Here is a 16,172-nt window from a genome sequence, read left to right as displayed (position 1 = left end):
AGAATTGCTTGAACCTGGGAGGCGGAGGTTGCAGTGAGCCATGATCGCACCACTGTACTCCAGCCTGGATGACAGAATGAGACTCTGTCTCAAAAAAAACAAAAACAAACAAACAAAAAAACACAGATATTTCTCACAGTTCTGCAGACTGGAAGTGCAAGATCAAAGTGTTGGCAAATTATGTTTCTTAAAGAGGGCCTGCTTCCTAGATTGGAAATGGCCATCTTCTCTCGGTATCCTCACATGGTAGGGAGAAAAGCAGCTCTAGTGTCTCTTATAAAGGAAGTAATGCCACCATAGGGGCTCTATTCTCATGACCTCATCTAAACCTAATTCTCTCCTAAAGGCCACGCCTCCCAGTATCCTCACCTTGGGGGTTAGGGCTTTATCATATGAATTTTTTTTTTTTTTTTTTTTTTTTTGAGACAGAGTCTCGCTCTGTCTGTCACCCAGGCTGGAGTGCAGTGGCACAATCTCGGCTCTCTACAAGCTCCGCCTCCTGGGTTCACGCCATTCTCCTGCGTCAGCCTCCTCAGTAGCTGGGACTAAGGCGCCCGCCACTGCGCCCGGCTAATTTTTTGTATTTTCAGTAGAGACGGGGTTTTACCATGTTAGCCAGGATGATCTCGATCTCCTGACCTCATGATCCACCCGCCTCGGCCTCCCAAAGTGCTGGGATTACAGGCATGAGCCACCGCGCCGGGCCTATCATATGAATTTTGAGGGAACACAAACATGCAGTCTGTAGCAGATGGTAATAGGCTGACATATTACACTTGTTGATGTAAATCTGATAGGTTTCTTTCTCTCCAAGGACAGCTTTTTAAATATTTAACAGTATCAATAATTTTTCAGGTTCTGTGAGAATTTTATAATTTATAATTTGCAGACTTAATGTATAATCTATTTTGTCCTAACAATTACAAATATATTTTTTATTTCAGATTGTATATATTCCTACCAGATGGAGATAATTACAGCTTTAAAAATTTTTATTTTTTCATTTTATTTCACACATTGACATTAAATTTTTATGGACACATAATAACTGTACATATATATGGGGTAGAATGTGATGTTTTAATACATGTACTCAATGTGTAATGATCAAATCAGGGTAATTTGCATAATGATTTTTCTGTAGGGAGAAAATTCAAAATCTACTCTTCTGGCTATTTTCAAATATATAATATGTTATTGTTAACTATACTCATCCTACTATGCAATAGGACACCAGAACTTATTCCTGGGTTCTACATCCGTTAAGGCAACCAAGGATTGGAAATATTGGAAAAAAAAATTGCGTCTGTACTGAACATGTACAGACTTTTTTCTTGTCCTTATTCCTTACACAATATAGTACAATAACTATTTGCATGACATTTACATCGGATATTATGAGTGATCTAGAGTTGATATGAAGTATATGGGAGGATGTGCAAAGGTGATGTGCAAATACTATGTCATTTTATATCAGGGACTTGAGTATCCTTTGTTACCCTCAGGAGATCCTGAAACCAGTCCCCCATGGATACTGAGGGCTGACTGTATAGTCCTATCCTCACGGAACTTTCATTCTAATGGGGGAAGACTGACTATAAACAAAATATATGTAATAGGTGGTGGTAAGTACCGTGGAGAAGTAACAAACGGGGCAAAGTGAGTTATACAGCTCCATTCTTAGAAACCTTGGAGTACTTTTCTTAGTTTATACTTGTGGTGGTTTCCTTTTGTCTCCTTTATTACATGGGACTCTGACATGTGCCCATAGCTAGGGTGACAGTAGGATCTACCCGATAGTAGGGTGGCAGTAGGATCTACCCAAAAAGCGTCCTGCTGATACAGGACCAAAGCATCCTGTTGTTCTCGAGCCTATAAAAAGAGCTAATGGTCTTGCTTCTCTTAACTGTGGCCTCCTACACTGTGTTTTGGATGATTGGTGATGTCTTGGATATTCTGTTTCTTTGGAACTTTGAATATACAACACTTTACTAGGGAATTAGCAATGGAAGCAGAGCAAAGATGTACAGAGGAAACAATGCGTAACTCTGATGGAATTGAAGTCATGAGGCAGCAGAGAGCTTAAATTACAGCTTTAAAAATTTTTATTTTTTAGAGGGAATTTACTTGGGAGTAACAGCAGTAATAGTTAACGGAGCCAGAATGCTTGAGTCATATAATTGCAAAGCAGAGTTGGGAGCAACAGATGCTAAAGAGTAGTTGCTGTAGTTCCTCTTTGGGTCGTAGGAGCAGTTGTCATATTCCTATATAGCTACTGCATGAAGAAGAGTTCTTAGTGAGGCCTGGGTGAACAGCTCTTCTTAGTATTCTGTGTGACCCCATTTGACCTTTTAACAAATCCCTAAGTAAATAAATAGCCCCTCAGGTAAACTAAGTTTTTCTCTGCTGTTTTTTTGCTTGAGAGAGCTATAACTGTAATAGACTTATATTTCTGAACATTTCAGTGCTTGCCAATATTTGGTAATATTTATGTTTCCTATATTTGTAATGAACATTCTTCTTCCGGTACATTTTTTGTTAAATTATTGTTTGATGGATAAAAGTTCACCCTTTATTGTATAAAATTGACTGAGATTAATTTATACACATTGACAATGGGTAAATAGAATTTTTCAGATTATTAAAAGCTGAAGGATGCCCACGTAAGCAAAAAAAAAAAAGAAAAAACCAACAAAAATAAACCCAAACCCCTCAAACAATTTCGAACACGAAACATTCTTCTGATGCCGGCATCCCTGCTTGCAGGTGTGAAGGGGGCAGGAATCAGCGAGGTGTCCTGGGCTGAGTCCCCGGAGTGGGAAGAGGTGGCAGGAAGGGGATCTGAGGAGGAGAACAGGGGTCCTGGTGGTCTGTGCTTCTTCCCAGACACGGGAGCTGTAGAGGAGACCTCTGCAGCAGATGCTAGGGGGGCCAGTAGGCCCAGGCAGTCTTGGGACTTGGGTCTGTCCTGCTGTGCATCCATAGTGGGTGCTTTAGAAACGGGAGGCCCACCCGAAGTCCCTGTTGCAAGTGAGGACAAAGTGTGGGAAGGCCGTGAGGGTCTGCAGTCCGGGATGGCCTTGTCCTCAACGTGCAGTGCACTGTTGATGCGCTGGAATGCCGTCTCTTTTTCCAGGTGCAGGTCTTCAGCCGTGACCCGGTACCCCAGCTCTAAGGGAGGTGGCAGCATCAAAGGCTCCCCTCGCCTGCGTGGCAGCAGGGGAATCTTGCGTCTACGGGGCCTAGAGTCCTGGGATCTGGGGGAGCCACCCGTTGGGGCGATTGTCTGCCCTGGTGCTGTATCTGCCCCCTTTTCACACCGTGTGTGACCCGAAGAGACAGCCTGAGGCCTGTCCTCACTCACTGTCTTTGAGTAACTGAGGGTCAGCTGGCAGCGGGATGAGGCTGGCCCCCTCCTCTGCTTTAGCCCCGGCAAGCCTCCCGTGGAGCTGTAGGAGCTGGAGATGGCATTTCGTTTGGTGCTCGAGCTCGTCCAGGATGTCTGGGATGTGTGGTTATATCTGATTTCTGAGCTCTGGGCGTGGAGGTCTGTCTGCAGAGGCCCGGGCCTGGGCACAAAGGGAGAGGGGCCTCCATTGTCCCGCAGGGGCCAAAATGCAGACCGTGCATCCCCGGTGACCTCGGGGACCGTTCTCTGATCATCAGGATTTTCTTGGACTCTGGGGTCCTTGTCCTGCTCAGGCATCCCTGCCCCGCTCTCCTTGAGGGCCCTCAACACTATCTTCCCTGGACACAAGTCTGGGGACAGCCGGGTGTTGTGGACCCCAAAGGGGTGACTACCTGCTCCTGGGCCCCACAGAGTCCTTGTGCTCAGTGTAGTGGCTGAGCTGGGGGATGCCCTGGAACTCGGAGCACACAGCACTGGCTTACTGTGGTACCTGTGCAGTGAAATTGAAGACAGAATCACCAGGATGGAACACAGGTCTTGCAGGATCACGGAAAACCTTCTTAGAGTTGTCTTGACACCACTGATGTCGAGTGTGCGGGTGTTTGTAGGATGGCCTGCCACTCAGTCCAGGGGCAGGAGCAACGGGGAGATCCCACAAGCAAAGTGAACTGGGGGATGGGCTGAAGGGGCTCCAGGCAACTGAGCCCTACTCGCAGGTCCTCGGCCTTGGCCCAAACAGGAATGAGGGGCACAGAGTGCCCGGGTAACCGCTCCTGGGAGCAGTGGGGAACTGTCGGATACTTGAACTCTCAAGAGCTGGGCTCTGAGCGTCCTCGTCCAGCTGCCAACTTGGCCAAAGGCTAAGCCAGCAGATTGTTCTGTTGCCGGGCAACGCGACTTCTAAACCTGAGGGAGTGGGCATGTGAGCACATAATGGCACCAGTGACAGAGCGACCATAATGGATGAATAAGCGCAGCCAGGTACCGGCGCAAGGCACCTGCTGGCAATGGCAGGAGGCGGACGTGGGGGGTCGTGCAGTAGGTACTGGAGGGAGAGACGTGGGCACAAAGGTCGCGGGAGGAACAGGTGCCCACAATGGCTGCATATTTGCCCGTGGATCACTGAAGATTCCTGCTCTCCTGCTGAGGTGGAGACTGCAGTGAGCTGAGATCGCACCATTGCACTCCAGCCTGGGCAACGAGTGCAAAACTCAGTCTCCAGATAAAAAAAAGAAAAAGAAAAAAAAGAGGCCGGGTGTGGTGGCTTATGCCTATGATCCTAGCACTTTGGGAGGTCGGGGTGGACGGATCACGAGATCAGGAGTTGGAGGCCAGCCTGGCCAACATAGTGAAAGCCCGTCTCTAGTAAAAATACAAAATTTAGTCAGACATGGTGGGCAGGAGAGAGCATGTGCAGGGGAACATCCATTTATAAAACCATCAGACCTCATGAGACTTATTCACTACCATGAGAACAGCATGGGGGAAACTGCCTCCATGATTCAGTTATCTCCACCTGGCCCCACCCTTGACACATGGGAATTGTTACAATTCAAGATGAGATTTGGGTGCGGACAGAGCCAAACCATATAATTCTTCCCCGGCCCCTCCCAAATCTCATGTCCTCATATTTCAAAAGCAATCGTGCCTTCCCCTAAGTCCCCCAAACTCTTATTTCAGCATTAACTCAAAATTCCATAGTCCAAAGTCTCATCTGAGACAAGGCAAGTCCCTTCCACCTATGAGCCTGTAAAATCAAAAGCAAGTTAGTTATTTTCTAGATACACAGGGATACAGGCATTGGGTAGATACACTCGTTTCAAATGGGAGAAATTGGCCAAAGCGAAAGAGCTACAGGCCCCATGCAAGTCCAAAACCCAGCAGGCAAATCTTAAAGCTCCAAAATGACCTCCTTTGACTCCATGTGTCACATCTAGGTGATGCAAGAAGTGGGTTCCCAGGGTCTTGGGCAGCCCCGCCCCTGTGGCTTTGCAGGGTACAGCCCCCCTTCTGGCTGCATTGAGTGTCTGCAGCTTTTCCAGGCACACAGTGCAAGCTGTCAGTGGATCTACCATTCTGGGGTCTGGAGGATGGTGGCCCTTTTCTCACAGCTCTGCTTGGCAGTACCCCAGTGGGGACTCTGTGTGGAAGCTCCAACCCCATATTTCCCTTTGACACTGCCCTAGCAGAGGTTATCCATGAGGGCCCCCCCTCCCCTCCCCTCCCCCCCACAGCAAACTTTTGCCTGGATTTCCAGGCATTTTCATACATCTTCTGAAATGTAGGCAGAGGTTCATGAACGTTAATGCTTGACTTCGGTGCATCTGCAGGCTTAACACCACCTAGAACCTGAAAGGCTTGGAACTTGCACCCTCTGAAGCCATGGCCTGAGGTGTACCTTGGCCCCTTTTACCTATGGCAGGAGCAGCTGGGATGCAGGGCCCCAAGTTCCTAGGCTGCACACAGCAGGGGGTTCTGGACCCACAAAACCATTTTTCCTTCTAAGCCTCCTGGCCTGTGATGGGAGGGTCTGCTGTGAGGGTCTCTAACATGCCCTGGAGACATTTGCCCCATTGTCTTGGTGATTAACATTTGGCTCCTCATTACTTATGCAAATTTCTACAACCCAGTCTCCTGAGAAAATAGATTTTTCTTTTCTGTTGCATCATCAGGCTACAAATTTTCTGAACTTTTATGCTCTGCTTCTTCTCGAATGCTTTGCTGCTTAGAAATTTCTTCTGTCAGATACCTTAAATCATCTCTCTCAAGTTCAAAGTTCCACAGATCTGTAGGGAACTCTAGAAAAAAATTCTTATTTTCCCTCTTTCCCGCCTATCTTATGCCCGTTTCTAATACAGGTGCACAATGCCTGCAGTGTCTTTGCATAGTAAGAGTGACTTTACTCCATTTCCCAACAAATTCCTCATCTGCCTCTGAGACCACCTCCGCCTGGACCTTGTTGTCCATATCACTATTAACATTTTGGTCAAAGCCATTCAACAAGTCTCTAGGAAGTTCCAAACTTTCCCACATTTTCCTATCCTCTTCTGAGCCTTCCAAACTGTTCCAGCCTCTCCCTGTTACCCATTTCCAAAGTTGCTTCCACATTTTCGGGTATCTTTACAGCAGCACCCCACTCTACTGGTATCAACTTATTGTATTAGTCTGTTCTCACACTGCAAATAAAGACATACCTGAGACTGGGTAATTTATAAAGGAAAGAGGTTGAATTGACTCACAGTTCTGCATGGCTGGGGAGGCCTCACAGTCATGGTGGAAGGCAAGGAGGTGCAAAAGCATGTCTCACATAGTGGCAGGCAGGAGAGAGCATGTGCAGGGGAGCTCCCATTTATAAAACCATCAGATCTCATGAGACTTAGTCACTACCGCGAGAACAGTATGGGGGGAACCATCCCCATGATTCAGTTATCTGCACCCGGCCCCACCCTTGACACGTGGGAATTATTACAATGCAAGGTGAGATTTGGGTGGGGACCCATCCAAACTATGTCAGTATGTTTTGACTTCTTGCTTGATTGCTAGGTTGCATAGAGGACAAACATGGAAATTAATGAAGTACCTTAATATCTGGCTTCAGATCTTAGACAGGATCAGAGGGCCAGCTCAAATTTGCAAGGAGGGGAGGTAGATCCCACCATTTTATGGGTGAATGGCAAAATCAAACAGAAATTATGTGGGATGGGAGATACTGATGCAGGCATCTTTGGAAACATTCTACTTAGCTAATTTTATGCTAGGCTTTAGGTCAAGAAGGAGAGAGAGAGCTGACATGCTGTGGTACACACTTATAGTCCCAGCGACTTGGAAAGCTGAGGCAGGAGGATTGCTTGATCCCAGGAGTTTGAGGTAGTGTGCGATGATCGTTCTTGTGAATAGCCACTAGCCACTGAACTCCAGCTTGGGCAACATTGAGACACCCTGTCTCTTAATTTAAAAAAAAAAAAAAAAAAAAAGGAGGAAAGAAAGTGGTCTCAGTTTTTAATGTAAATATTTTTAATGGGATACTGATATTTTAAGATTAATGTATATTGTATATCAGTTAACTGCAGGTCAATAATTATATAAAACTTAAGGTACGAAAAACATTTATTTTTGCTAACATATCTGTGAGTTGACTGTTGTTGGCTTGGTGAGGCTGCAAGCTGCAGATAGAGTCTAGGTATGTTTTCTGTGTGTTTGTTCCCCCTTGGATCAGTGGACTACCTGAGAATGTGTTTCTGTCACAGTGATAGAATCACAAGGAAACTCCAGTTCTGGAAGTACATTTTAAGCCATTGCTTCTCTCATGTCCACTAACATTCAGTCAGCCAAAGCACATACCTTGTCCATGGCTAACATTGATAGTATAGATAAATATACCTGATCTCTAGCAGGAGGAACTGCATTGTCTTGGGGAAAGGTTTTAGATATAGGGAGGGGTGATGAGTTGGGAACAATAATGTAGTCTGCCGCAAACATATTAAAGTGTAACTGGATATGGTTGCTGCAGAATTTTGAACCTTTGTTTTAATTGTGATTTTTACTCTTTCCCCCCTATCTAGTGCCCTTTTGTAATACAGTAATTATCATGATTTTTGTCTGAACTGAAATCTTCTGAGATTAGATTGTCTACGAAAATACAGTCGATCCTCCTTGTTTTCAGCTTTTGTATTTGTGAACTCACCTACTATTTTTTGTAACCCCCAAATCAGTACTCACAGCACTTTCATAGTCATGTGTTTGCGCAGAGTGTCAAAGAATTTGAGTTTGAACAGGATGATATTCTGCCTTCTTTTTCAGCTCTCATACAATAGTCAGGTATCCTTTTTGTGGTCTATTTAATGCCATGCTTTTCCTGTTTTTGTACTGTTTGTTGGTTGTTTTGCCATTTAAATTAACCCCCAAGCATAGTGCTGAAGTGCTGCTTAGCATTCACAAGTCCAAGAAGTCTGTGATGTGTCTTACAGAGAAAATACATGCATTAAATAAACTCCATTCAGGCGTGAGTGCTGTAGTGCCGTTGGCTGTGAGTTCAATGTTAATGAATGAACAATGTATATTATTTATTTATTCTTCATTTAATTAATTATTATTATTATTTTTTTTGAGATAGAGTCTCACTCTGTTGCTCAGGCTGGAGTGCAGTGGTGCAGTCTTGGCTCACTGCAACCTCTGCCTCCTGGGTTCAAGCGATTCCCCTGCCTTCGCCTCCCAAGTAGCTAAGACTACAGGCATGCGCCACCATGCCTGGCTAATTTTTTTTTTTTTTTTTTGTAGTTTTAGTAGAGACGGGGTTTCACCACGTTGGCCAGGCTGGTCTCGAACTCCAGACCTCAAATGATCTGCCCGCCTTGGCTTCCCAAAGTGCTGGGATTACAGGCGTTAGCCACTGTGCCTGGCCAACAATATATATTAAATAAGCACACATACAACAAAAGTAGGTGTTGGTAAGCTTACAAAAGTGTGACCAGTAGCTTGCTGAAACCTAACTTTTTATTTGTTCATGGAACTTTCTAGACCGTAACTACACTGAATAATGAGAATCTGCTGTAATCTTTTTAGGTGCTGTAGATGAGCCATTGGATTAAATTATTACAGTATGTTTCAGACTGCTGTATGTTGAACCCTAGTGAAATGCCTCTCAAACCTTCATAAGGATCACAATCTCATGTCCTTTTTTTTTGTTATTAAATGCCCAGTATGTGTTAGCGATTTAAACAAAATTCAAATATTTTTTTTTTTTTTTTGAGACAGAGTCTCGCTCTGTCACCTAAGCTGGAGAGTGCAGTGGTATGATCTCGGCTCACTACAACCTCTGCCTCCCGGGTTCAGGCGATTCTCCTGCCTCAGCATCCTGAGTAGCTGGGATTACAGGCACCCGCCACCACGCTGGGCTAATTTTTGTATTTTTAGTAGAGACGGGGTTTCGCCAGGTTGTCCAGGCTGGTCTGGAACTCCTGACCTCATGCGATCTGCCTGCCTTGGCCTCCTGAAGTGCTGGGATTATAGGCGTGAGCCACCATGCCCGGCGTTGACTTCTTAATAATAACCATACTGACTGGTGTGAGATGGTATGCCATTGTGGTTTTGATTTGCATTTCTCTAATGATCAGTGATATTGAGCTTTTTCTCATATGCTTGTTGGCCGCATGTGTGTCTTCTTTTGAAGTGTCTGTTTATGTCCTGTGCCCACTTTCCAATGAGATTTTTTTTTTTTCTTGTAAATTTGTTTAAGTTCCTTATCAGTGTTGGACATTAGATCTTTGTCACATGCATTGTTGCAAAAATTTTCTCCCATTCTGTAGGTTGTCTGTTCACTCTGTTGATAGTTTCTTTTGCTGTGCAGAAGCTTCAAGAAGAAAGGAATCCGATTGGTTCTGTGTCTGTCTCTTTTGGTATTCTCAGAATTATGTAGTCATTCATATAGAAAGATGATTAGGAAAATAGGACAAGAATAGCAGAAATCTACATAAAAATGTAGGAAATTAAAATTAGTTACCAGCATACAAAAAACTTCTGTATGTTATAATTACATACTATAACTCACCCCTCCTTGGCAAATATTCTCTCTCTTTTGACTTCAAAATCATGGCTTATATGTACTTTCTCTATTTCCCAGATGCAAATATAATTAATTGACTTTATTTATCTAGGAAATGTTACTCATATCTTAATTGTAGTCATTGGCTTGAGTGACGGGTTTTGGTAATTCAACTACTATTACTTGAAAGTAGTAGATTTCATAGGATACTGTTATAAAATCTTTTTAACCTCTTTTCTGATTTCAGGAGTAATTAGTAATTGTGGTTTACTGGAAAATTCAATGAATAGGGTGTTAAAGGAAGCAATTCATTAATAATATATGTAATCTATTGGGAGACTGAGGCGGGTGGATCACCTGAGTTCAGGAGTTCGAGACCAGCCTGGCCAACATGGCAAAACTCCGTCTCTACTGAAAATAGAAAAATTCGCCGGGCATGGTGGTGCATTCCTGTATTCCCAGGTACTCGGAAGGCTGAGGCAGGAGAATCACCTGAACTCCAGAGGTGGAGGTTGCAGCGAGTCAGGATCGCAGCACTACACTCCAGCCTGGGTGACAGTGAGACTCCATCTCAAAAAAAAAAAAAAAAAAAAAAAAAAAAAAAATTAAAAAATTAAATTAAAAGCGGGCTGGGCGCATTGGTTCAGGGCCGGGCACGGTGGCTCAAGCCTGTAATCCCAGCACTTTGGGAGGCCGAGGCAGGCGGATCACGAGGTCAGGAGATCAAGACCATCCTGGCTAATGTGGTGAAACCCCGTCTCTACTAACAATACAAAAATTAGCTGGATGTGGTGGCAGGTGCCTGTAATCCCAGCTATTCCAGAGGCTGAGGCAGGAGAATCACTTGAACCTGGGAGGCAGAGGTTTCAGTGAGTCCAGATCATGCCACTGCACTCCAGCCTGGGTGACAGAGCGAGATTCTATCTCAAAAAAAAAAAAAAAAAAGCAACAGAAGCAAATGAGAGTGCCTGGGAGTGGTCATTGTGGGGCCTTCCCGTTTGTGTGACCCAGGTCATGTCCCTCCCTAAGCCCTGGTCTCTCTTGCCTCCTGCAGGGCTGGTGAATTACCAGATCTCCGTCAAGTGCAGTAACCAGTTCAAGTTGGAAGTGTGTCTTTTGAATGCAGAAAACAAAGTCGTGGACAACCAGGCTGGGACCCAGGGCCAGCTGAAGGTGCTGGGTGCCAACCTCTGGTGGCCGTACCTGATGCACGAACACCCCGCCTACCTGTACTCGTGGGAGGTAATGGTGGTTTGGGACTTGCGTAAGGGAGGTCTTTTGCCCCCATCTGGTAGCCCTGGCTTCAGCAGGAGCCCAGGACAGGTGAACGGGCAGGTGTGGTCCTCTGAGCTTTCTGATGTTTCCCACCCTTGGTGGGAGGCCCAGATTTTTTATTTATTTATTTATTTATTTATTTATTTATTTATTTATTTGTTTGTTTTTGTGATGGTCTCACTCTGTCACCCAGGCTGGAATGCAATGGCCTGATCACAGCTCACTGCAGCTTTGAGCTGCAATCCTCCTACCTTGGCCTCCTGAGTAGCTGGGACTACAGGCACATGCCACCATGCCTGGCTAATTAAAAAAATTTTTTTTGTAGGCCGGGCATGGTGGCTCACACCTGTAATCCCAGCACTTCGGGAGGCTGACGCGGGCGGATCACTTTAGGCCAGGAGTTGGAGACCAGCCTGGCCAACATGGTGAAACCCCGTCTCTACTAAAATATGAAAATTTGCAGGGCATGATGGTGCACGTCTGTAATCCCAGCTACTCGGGAGGCTGAGGCAGGGGAATTGCTTGAACCCAGGAGGCAGGGGCTGCGGTGAATTGAGATCATGCCGCAGCACTCTATCCTGGGTGACAGAGTGAGACTGTCTCAAAAAAAAAAAAACTCCTTTTTATAGAGTTGGGGTCTTACTAGGTTGCCCAGGCTGGTCTTGAACTCCTGGACTCAGGTGATCCTCCTGCCTTAGCCTCCCAAAGTGTAGGGATTCCAGGCATGAGCCACCTCGTCTGGTCAAGGAGAAGGCCTGATTTTGAAGGGCAGGTCCCAGGGTCAGCCAGTGAAGGGCAGAGCCTCTGGTTGCTGCTTCTCTGCAGGCCCAGTGGCGACTTCTGGGGTGCATGCACGAGGGGTCTTCCTGCTGTAGGGCAGGCCAGATGGGGCTCAGGCTGTCGGGGCGCTCACACCTGGCGCTTTGGCTGTCGTAGGTGCGGCTGACTGCACAGAAGTCACTGGGGCCTTTGACTTCTACACACTCCCTGTGGGGCTCCGCACTGTGCCCGTCACCGAGAGCCAGTGGGTGAGAGCCAGTTTCATTTGCGGTAGAGGCAGCAGAGGTTGTAGAAATGCTCCTTGAGGCAGATGCCACACCCCAATTTCATGGAGTGATTTGGGCTGAGCCGAGTCTGCAGCAGGCAGAAGGCTCTGAGATGTTGTCCTAGCCTGGGCAAAGGACAGTTCAGAGCTCGGGGGAATAGGGGTGTGCTCAGCACGACTGGGTGGACAGGCCGTTTGTTGTGAATCGTACAGGCTTCCAGGAGCGGGTGCCTGAGGCTTCCAGACAGGCTTTGGGAGGTGGCCAGAGGAGATGCCTGTTTCCGGGGCAGGAAATGGAGGGAGGGCCCAGGCTGGAGAGGTTCAGCCAGGCTGTCACAAGGCTTTGAAGCTTCCCATCTGAGAGCCTGGCTATTGGAGAGTGTGGGTTTGGAACTTGAGGCTAGGAGGTTCTATTCTGTCCTGTGCCAGCCACAGCCTTCGGATGGGCAGAGCAATGATGGGGGGAAGATGTAAAAGAAAAGAACTGAGGAAAGAAGAAGAAAACCAGCTTCAACAACGGTCTAGGCCGGATGCGGTGGGTCACGCCTGTAATCCCAGCAGTTTGGGAGGCTGAGGTGGGTGGATCACCCGAGGTCAGGAGTTCGAGACCAGCCTGGTCAACAGGTAGTGAATCCTGTCTCTACTAAAAATACAAAAATTAGCTGGGCATGGTGGTGGACGTCTGTAATGCCAGCTACCAGGTAGGCTGAGGCAGGAGAATCGCCTCAGGTGAACCAGGAGGCAGAGATTGCAATGAGCTGAGATAATGCCACTGCATTCCAGCCTGGGCTACAGAATGAGACTCTGTATCTCAACAAAACAAAACAAAACAAAAACACAACAGTCTGTTCTGTGGAGGCCTTGGGCAGATGCTGGGAGCTCTGAGCACGGACTGGTCCCTCTGTTGGGAGCCTCTTCCCTTCATCCCTCCTGGTTAACTTGACTCAGCATAAAGGCCATTTCTTCTAAGAGCCTGTCCCTGACTCTCCAATCGGGGATGTGTCTGTTGTCTCATAGAGTGCCCAATTCCTGCCACCACTTGTCATTTCCATTCGCAACATTTCTTTCATTGTTTGTTTTTCAGAGTCAGGGTCTCACTCTGTTGCCCAGGCTGGAGTGCAGTGGTGCAATCATAGCTCGTTGCCATCTCGACCTCCTGGGCTTAAGCGATCCTCCCCACTCAGCCTCCCAAATAGCTGGGACCACAGACGTGCGCTGCCTTGCCAGGCTAAATTTTAATATTTTTTTTTCCCCACGAGTCAGAGTCTTGCTCTGTCTCCCAGGCTGGAGAGCAGTGTTGCGGTCTTGGCTCACTGCGTCCTCTACCTCCTGGGTACAAACAGTTCTCCTGCCTCACCCTCCCGAGTAGCTGGGATTACAGGCTCACGCCACCATGCCCAGCTAGTTTTCTTCTTTATTTTTTGTTGAGATGGGGTTTCACCATGTTGGCCAGGCTGGTCTCGAACTCTTGAGCTCGTGATCCACCTGCCTTGGCCTCCCAAAGTGCTCACAGGCTTGAGCCACCATGCCCGGCCCTAATTTTTAAATTTGTTGTAGAAACAAGGTCTTGCTATGTTGTCCAGGCTGGTCTCAAGCGCCTGGTCTCAAGTAAGCCTCCCAAAGTGCTGGGGTTCTAGGCTTGAGCCACCTCGCCTGGCACTTGCACCGTTTTTCTGTGCATGCATCTCCACTCCCACTGCCCAGGACCTGTGGACTTAGATTTGAGTCATTACTGAGCACCTAGCACCCAGCCTCATGCCTACCTCCCACCTCGCACTACCTGTTTGCTTGATGCATTAATAAATATTCCACCTGAATCCACAGCCCATTCACTCCTGTGTTCAAGAGCTATTTCAGGAAGTGAACCTCATTTCTGGCAGTGTTCAGTCCAGTGACCTCAGCTCTGTGTACCCGGCAGGGTGGCTACGCCTCTGGGGGAGTTGGATTCAGGGGTGGGGGAGAAAGAGTGTTGTTAGAGAGCTCGGTCTAGGACTAGAGGAACGTGCCCTTATGTAAAATACATCTCAAGTTAGGGAAGAAAGCAGCGGCTCTGTGCTTTGTTTTTTTTTTTTTTTTTCTTTTCTTTCTTTCTTTTTTTTTTTTTTGTTTGTTTGTTTGTTTGTTTGTTTTGGGGCAGGGTCTTGCTCTGTGGCCCAGGCTGGAGTGCAGTAGCGTGATTTCGGCTCACTGCAACCTCCACCTCCCGGGTTCAAGCAATTCTTGTGCCTCAGCCTCCCGAGTAGCTGGAGTTACAGATGCGTGCCACTAAGCCTGGCTAATTTTTGTATATTTAGTAGAAATGGGGTTTTGCCATGTTGGCCAGGCTGTTCTTGAACCCCTGACCTCAGTGATCTGCCTGCCTCAGCCTCCTGAAGTGCTGGGATTACAGGCGTGAGCCATCGTGCCTGGCCCCCAGTTGTGTTCTGGCAGGGGAAGATGGGACAGAGAGGATGGGAGGGTGTCTGAGCCTTTCCCGGACTGACGGAACCTGTGTCTTCTCTCTTTTGTGGACAGGATGGTGATTGCTCACACCAAAGCCTTGGACCCCTCCCAGCCTGTGACCTTTGTGACCAACTCCACCTACGCAGCAGACAAGGGGGTGAGCCTGGGGGTCCCCACCCCATTTCTCCCTGCCTTTGCCTGGGCTTGTCCTGAAGCCTGCTCATGGGAACAGCTGGAAAGAACCATGTGCTGCCAGTCTGAGCTTTTTATTTTGTTTTACTTAGAAAGATAGAGACAGGGTCTTGCCATGTTGCCCAGGCTGGTCTCGAACTCCTGGGCTCAAGTGATCCTCCTGCCTCGGCCTTCCAAAGGGCTGGGGTTACAGGCGTGTGCCACCGCACTCAGCCGCAGCCAGTCTGTTTTCAAAGATGGTCTTTGGGTTAATGACAATTCTCTCTCTGCTTACTCTCCAGGCAGTGTGGCTTTCTGAATCCAAGGAGGCTGGGCATAGGGAGATGGGATTTGTTTGCCCGGTTTGGACTCAGCATTTTTTGTACTCGATTTAATAGACTCATAAAATGTCAAAGGTTTAAGTGAGCTTAGAGTTGATCTGGCCCAAACCTGGCTGATCAGAATCTCCAGGGGAAGTTTTATTGAAATGCCAGATCTCTGCGTTCTGAGATCCTGATTTAGTAACTCCAGGGTTGGAACCTGAGTTTTTTGTTTTTTTGTGTGTGTGTGTGAAGGCAAGGTCTTACTCTGTTGCTCTGGCTGGAGTGCAGTGGTGTGATCACAGCTCACTGCAGCCTTGAATTCCTGGGCCTAAGCAACCCTCTTGCCTCAGCCTTCCAAGTAGCTGGGACTCCGGGGGTACACCACTGTGCCCGGCTAATTTTAAATGTTTTTGTAGAGATGGGATCTCACTATGTTGCCCAGGCCAGTCTCAAACTCTTGAGCTCAAGTGATCCTCCTGCCTTAGCCTCCTAAAGTGCTGGGATTACAGGCATGAGCCACCGTGCCTGGCTGATACTAGCATTCTTTTTTATTTTTTATTATTTTTTTAAGATAGAGTCTTGCTCTGTTGCCCAGGCTGGAGTGCAGTGGCACAGTCTCAGCTCAGTGCAACCTCCGCCTCCCAGGTTCAAGCAATTCTCCTGCCTCAGCCTCCCAAGTAGCTGGGATAACAGGCACATGCCACCACGCCTGCGCTTGATCGTGGGAGGCAGAGCTTGCATTATTGTGCCACTCCATTCTAGCCTGGGCAACAGAGCGAGACTCTGTCTTCCAAACAAAGCGGAAAAAGATTATCTGCGAGAATGACTGCATTGGCCCCTTGGGTGGGAGGGCTTCTCCAGGGCAAGGTGAGGGGATGCCCAGTGCTGGGAGTGCTGCCTGGAGAGGAGTCAGTTCCAGTGGCGGGGGCCCTGGGTTTTGGCTGAGGACTGCGTGTTGGCAGCTGC

At 47.2% G+C, this 16,172-nt stretch overlaps 1 protein-coding gene and 2 pseudogenes across 2 annotated transcripts in view, besides 1 other annotated feature; 2 read left to right on the top strand and 1 right to left on the bottom strand.

Moving 5' to 3' along the window:
• The window catches only part of GUSBP3 (GUSB pseudogene 3), a 71,065-nt pseudogene that overhangs the window by 53,454 nt on the left and 1,439 nt on the right, over positions 1-16,172 (top strand). Inside the window, exons 4-5 of the transcript NR_027386.2 lie at positions 11,005-11,192; positions 14,785-14,869. The product of NR_027386.2 is annotated as a GUSB pseudogene 3 (transcript). The remainder of the gene's footprint in view (positions 1-11,004; positions 11,193-14,784; positions 14,870-16,172) is intronic.
• LOC124900997 (uncharacterized) lies at positions 945-3,825 on the top strand. The gene has a single exon (XM_047417976.1). It carries the CDS (start codon positions 2,745-2,747, stop codon positions 3,327-3,329), a length of 585 nt encoding a protein of 194 aa, XP_047273932.1. The 5' UTR covers positions 945-2,744; the 3' UTR covers positions 3,330-3,825.
• Positions 3,077-3,766, bottom strand: LOC728499 (POM121 membrane glycoprotein (rat) pseudogene; annotated as a pseudogene).
• Positions 14,841-15,342: an enhancer, noted in NCBI's record as "H3K27ac hESC enhancer chr5:68937559-68938060 (GRCh37/hg19 assembly coordinates)". NCBI's record gives its function as "activates a minimal SCP1, AML or CMV promoter by ChIP-STARR-seq in primed H9 embryonic stem cells {active_cell/tissue: H9 hESC(primed)}" and the evidence as "EXISTENCE:reporter gene assay evidence [ECO:0000049][PMID:30033119]".

Source organism: Homo sapiens, chromosome 5 (assembly GCF_000001405.40).
Source record: "Homo sapiens chromosome 5, GRCh38.p14 Primary Assembly".
NCBI lineage: Eukaryota > Metazoa > Chordata > Mammalia > Primates > Hominidae > Homo > Homo sapiens.
Note: the sequence above shows the minus strand (reverse complement) of the source record. Positions and strands in the feature narration are given on the sequence as shown.

Coding starts and splice junctions, on each gene's coding strand:
- LOC124900997 (XM_047417976.1), top strand. CDS start 2,745: ATGCCGGCATCCCTGCTTGCAGGTGTGAAGGGGGCAGGAATCAGCGAG.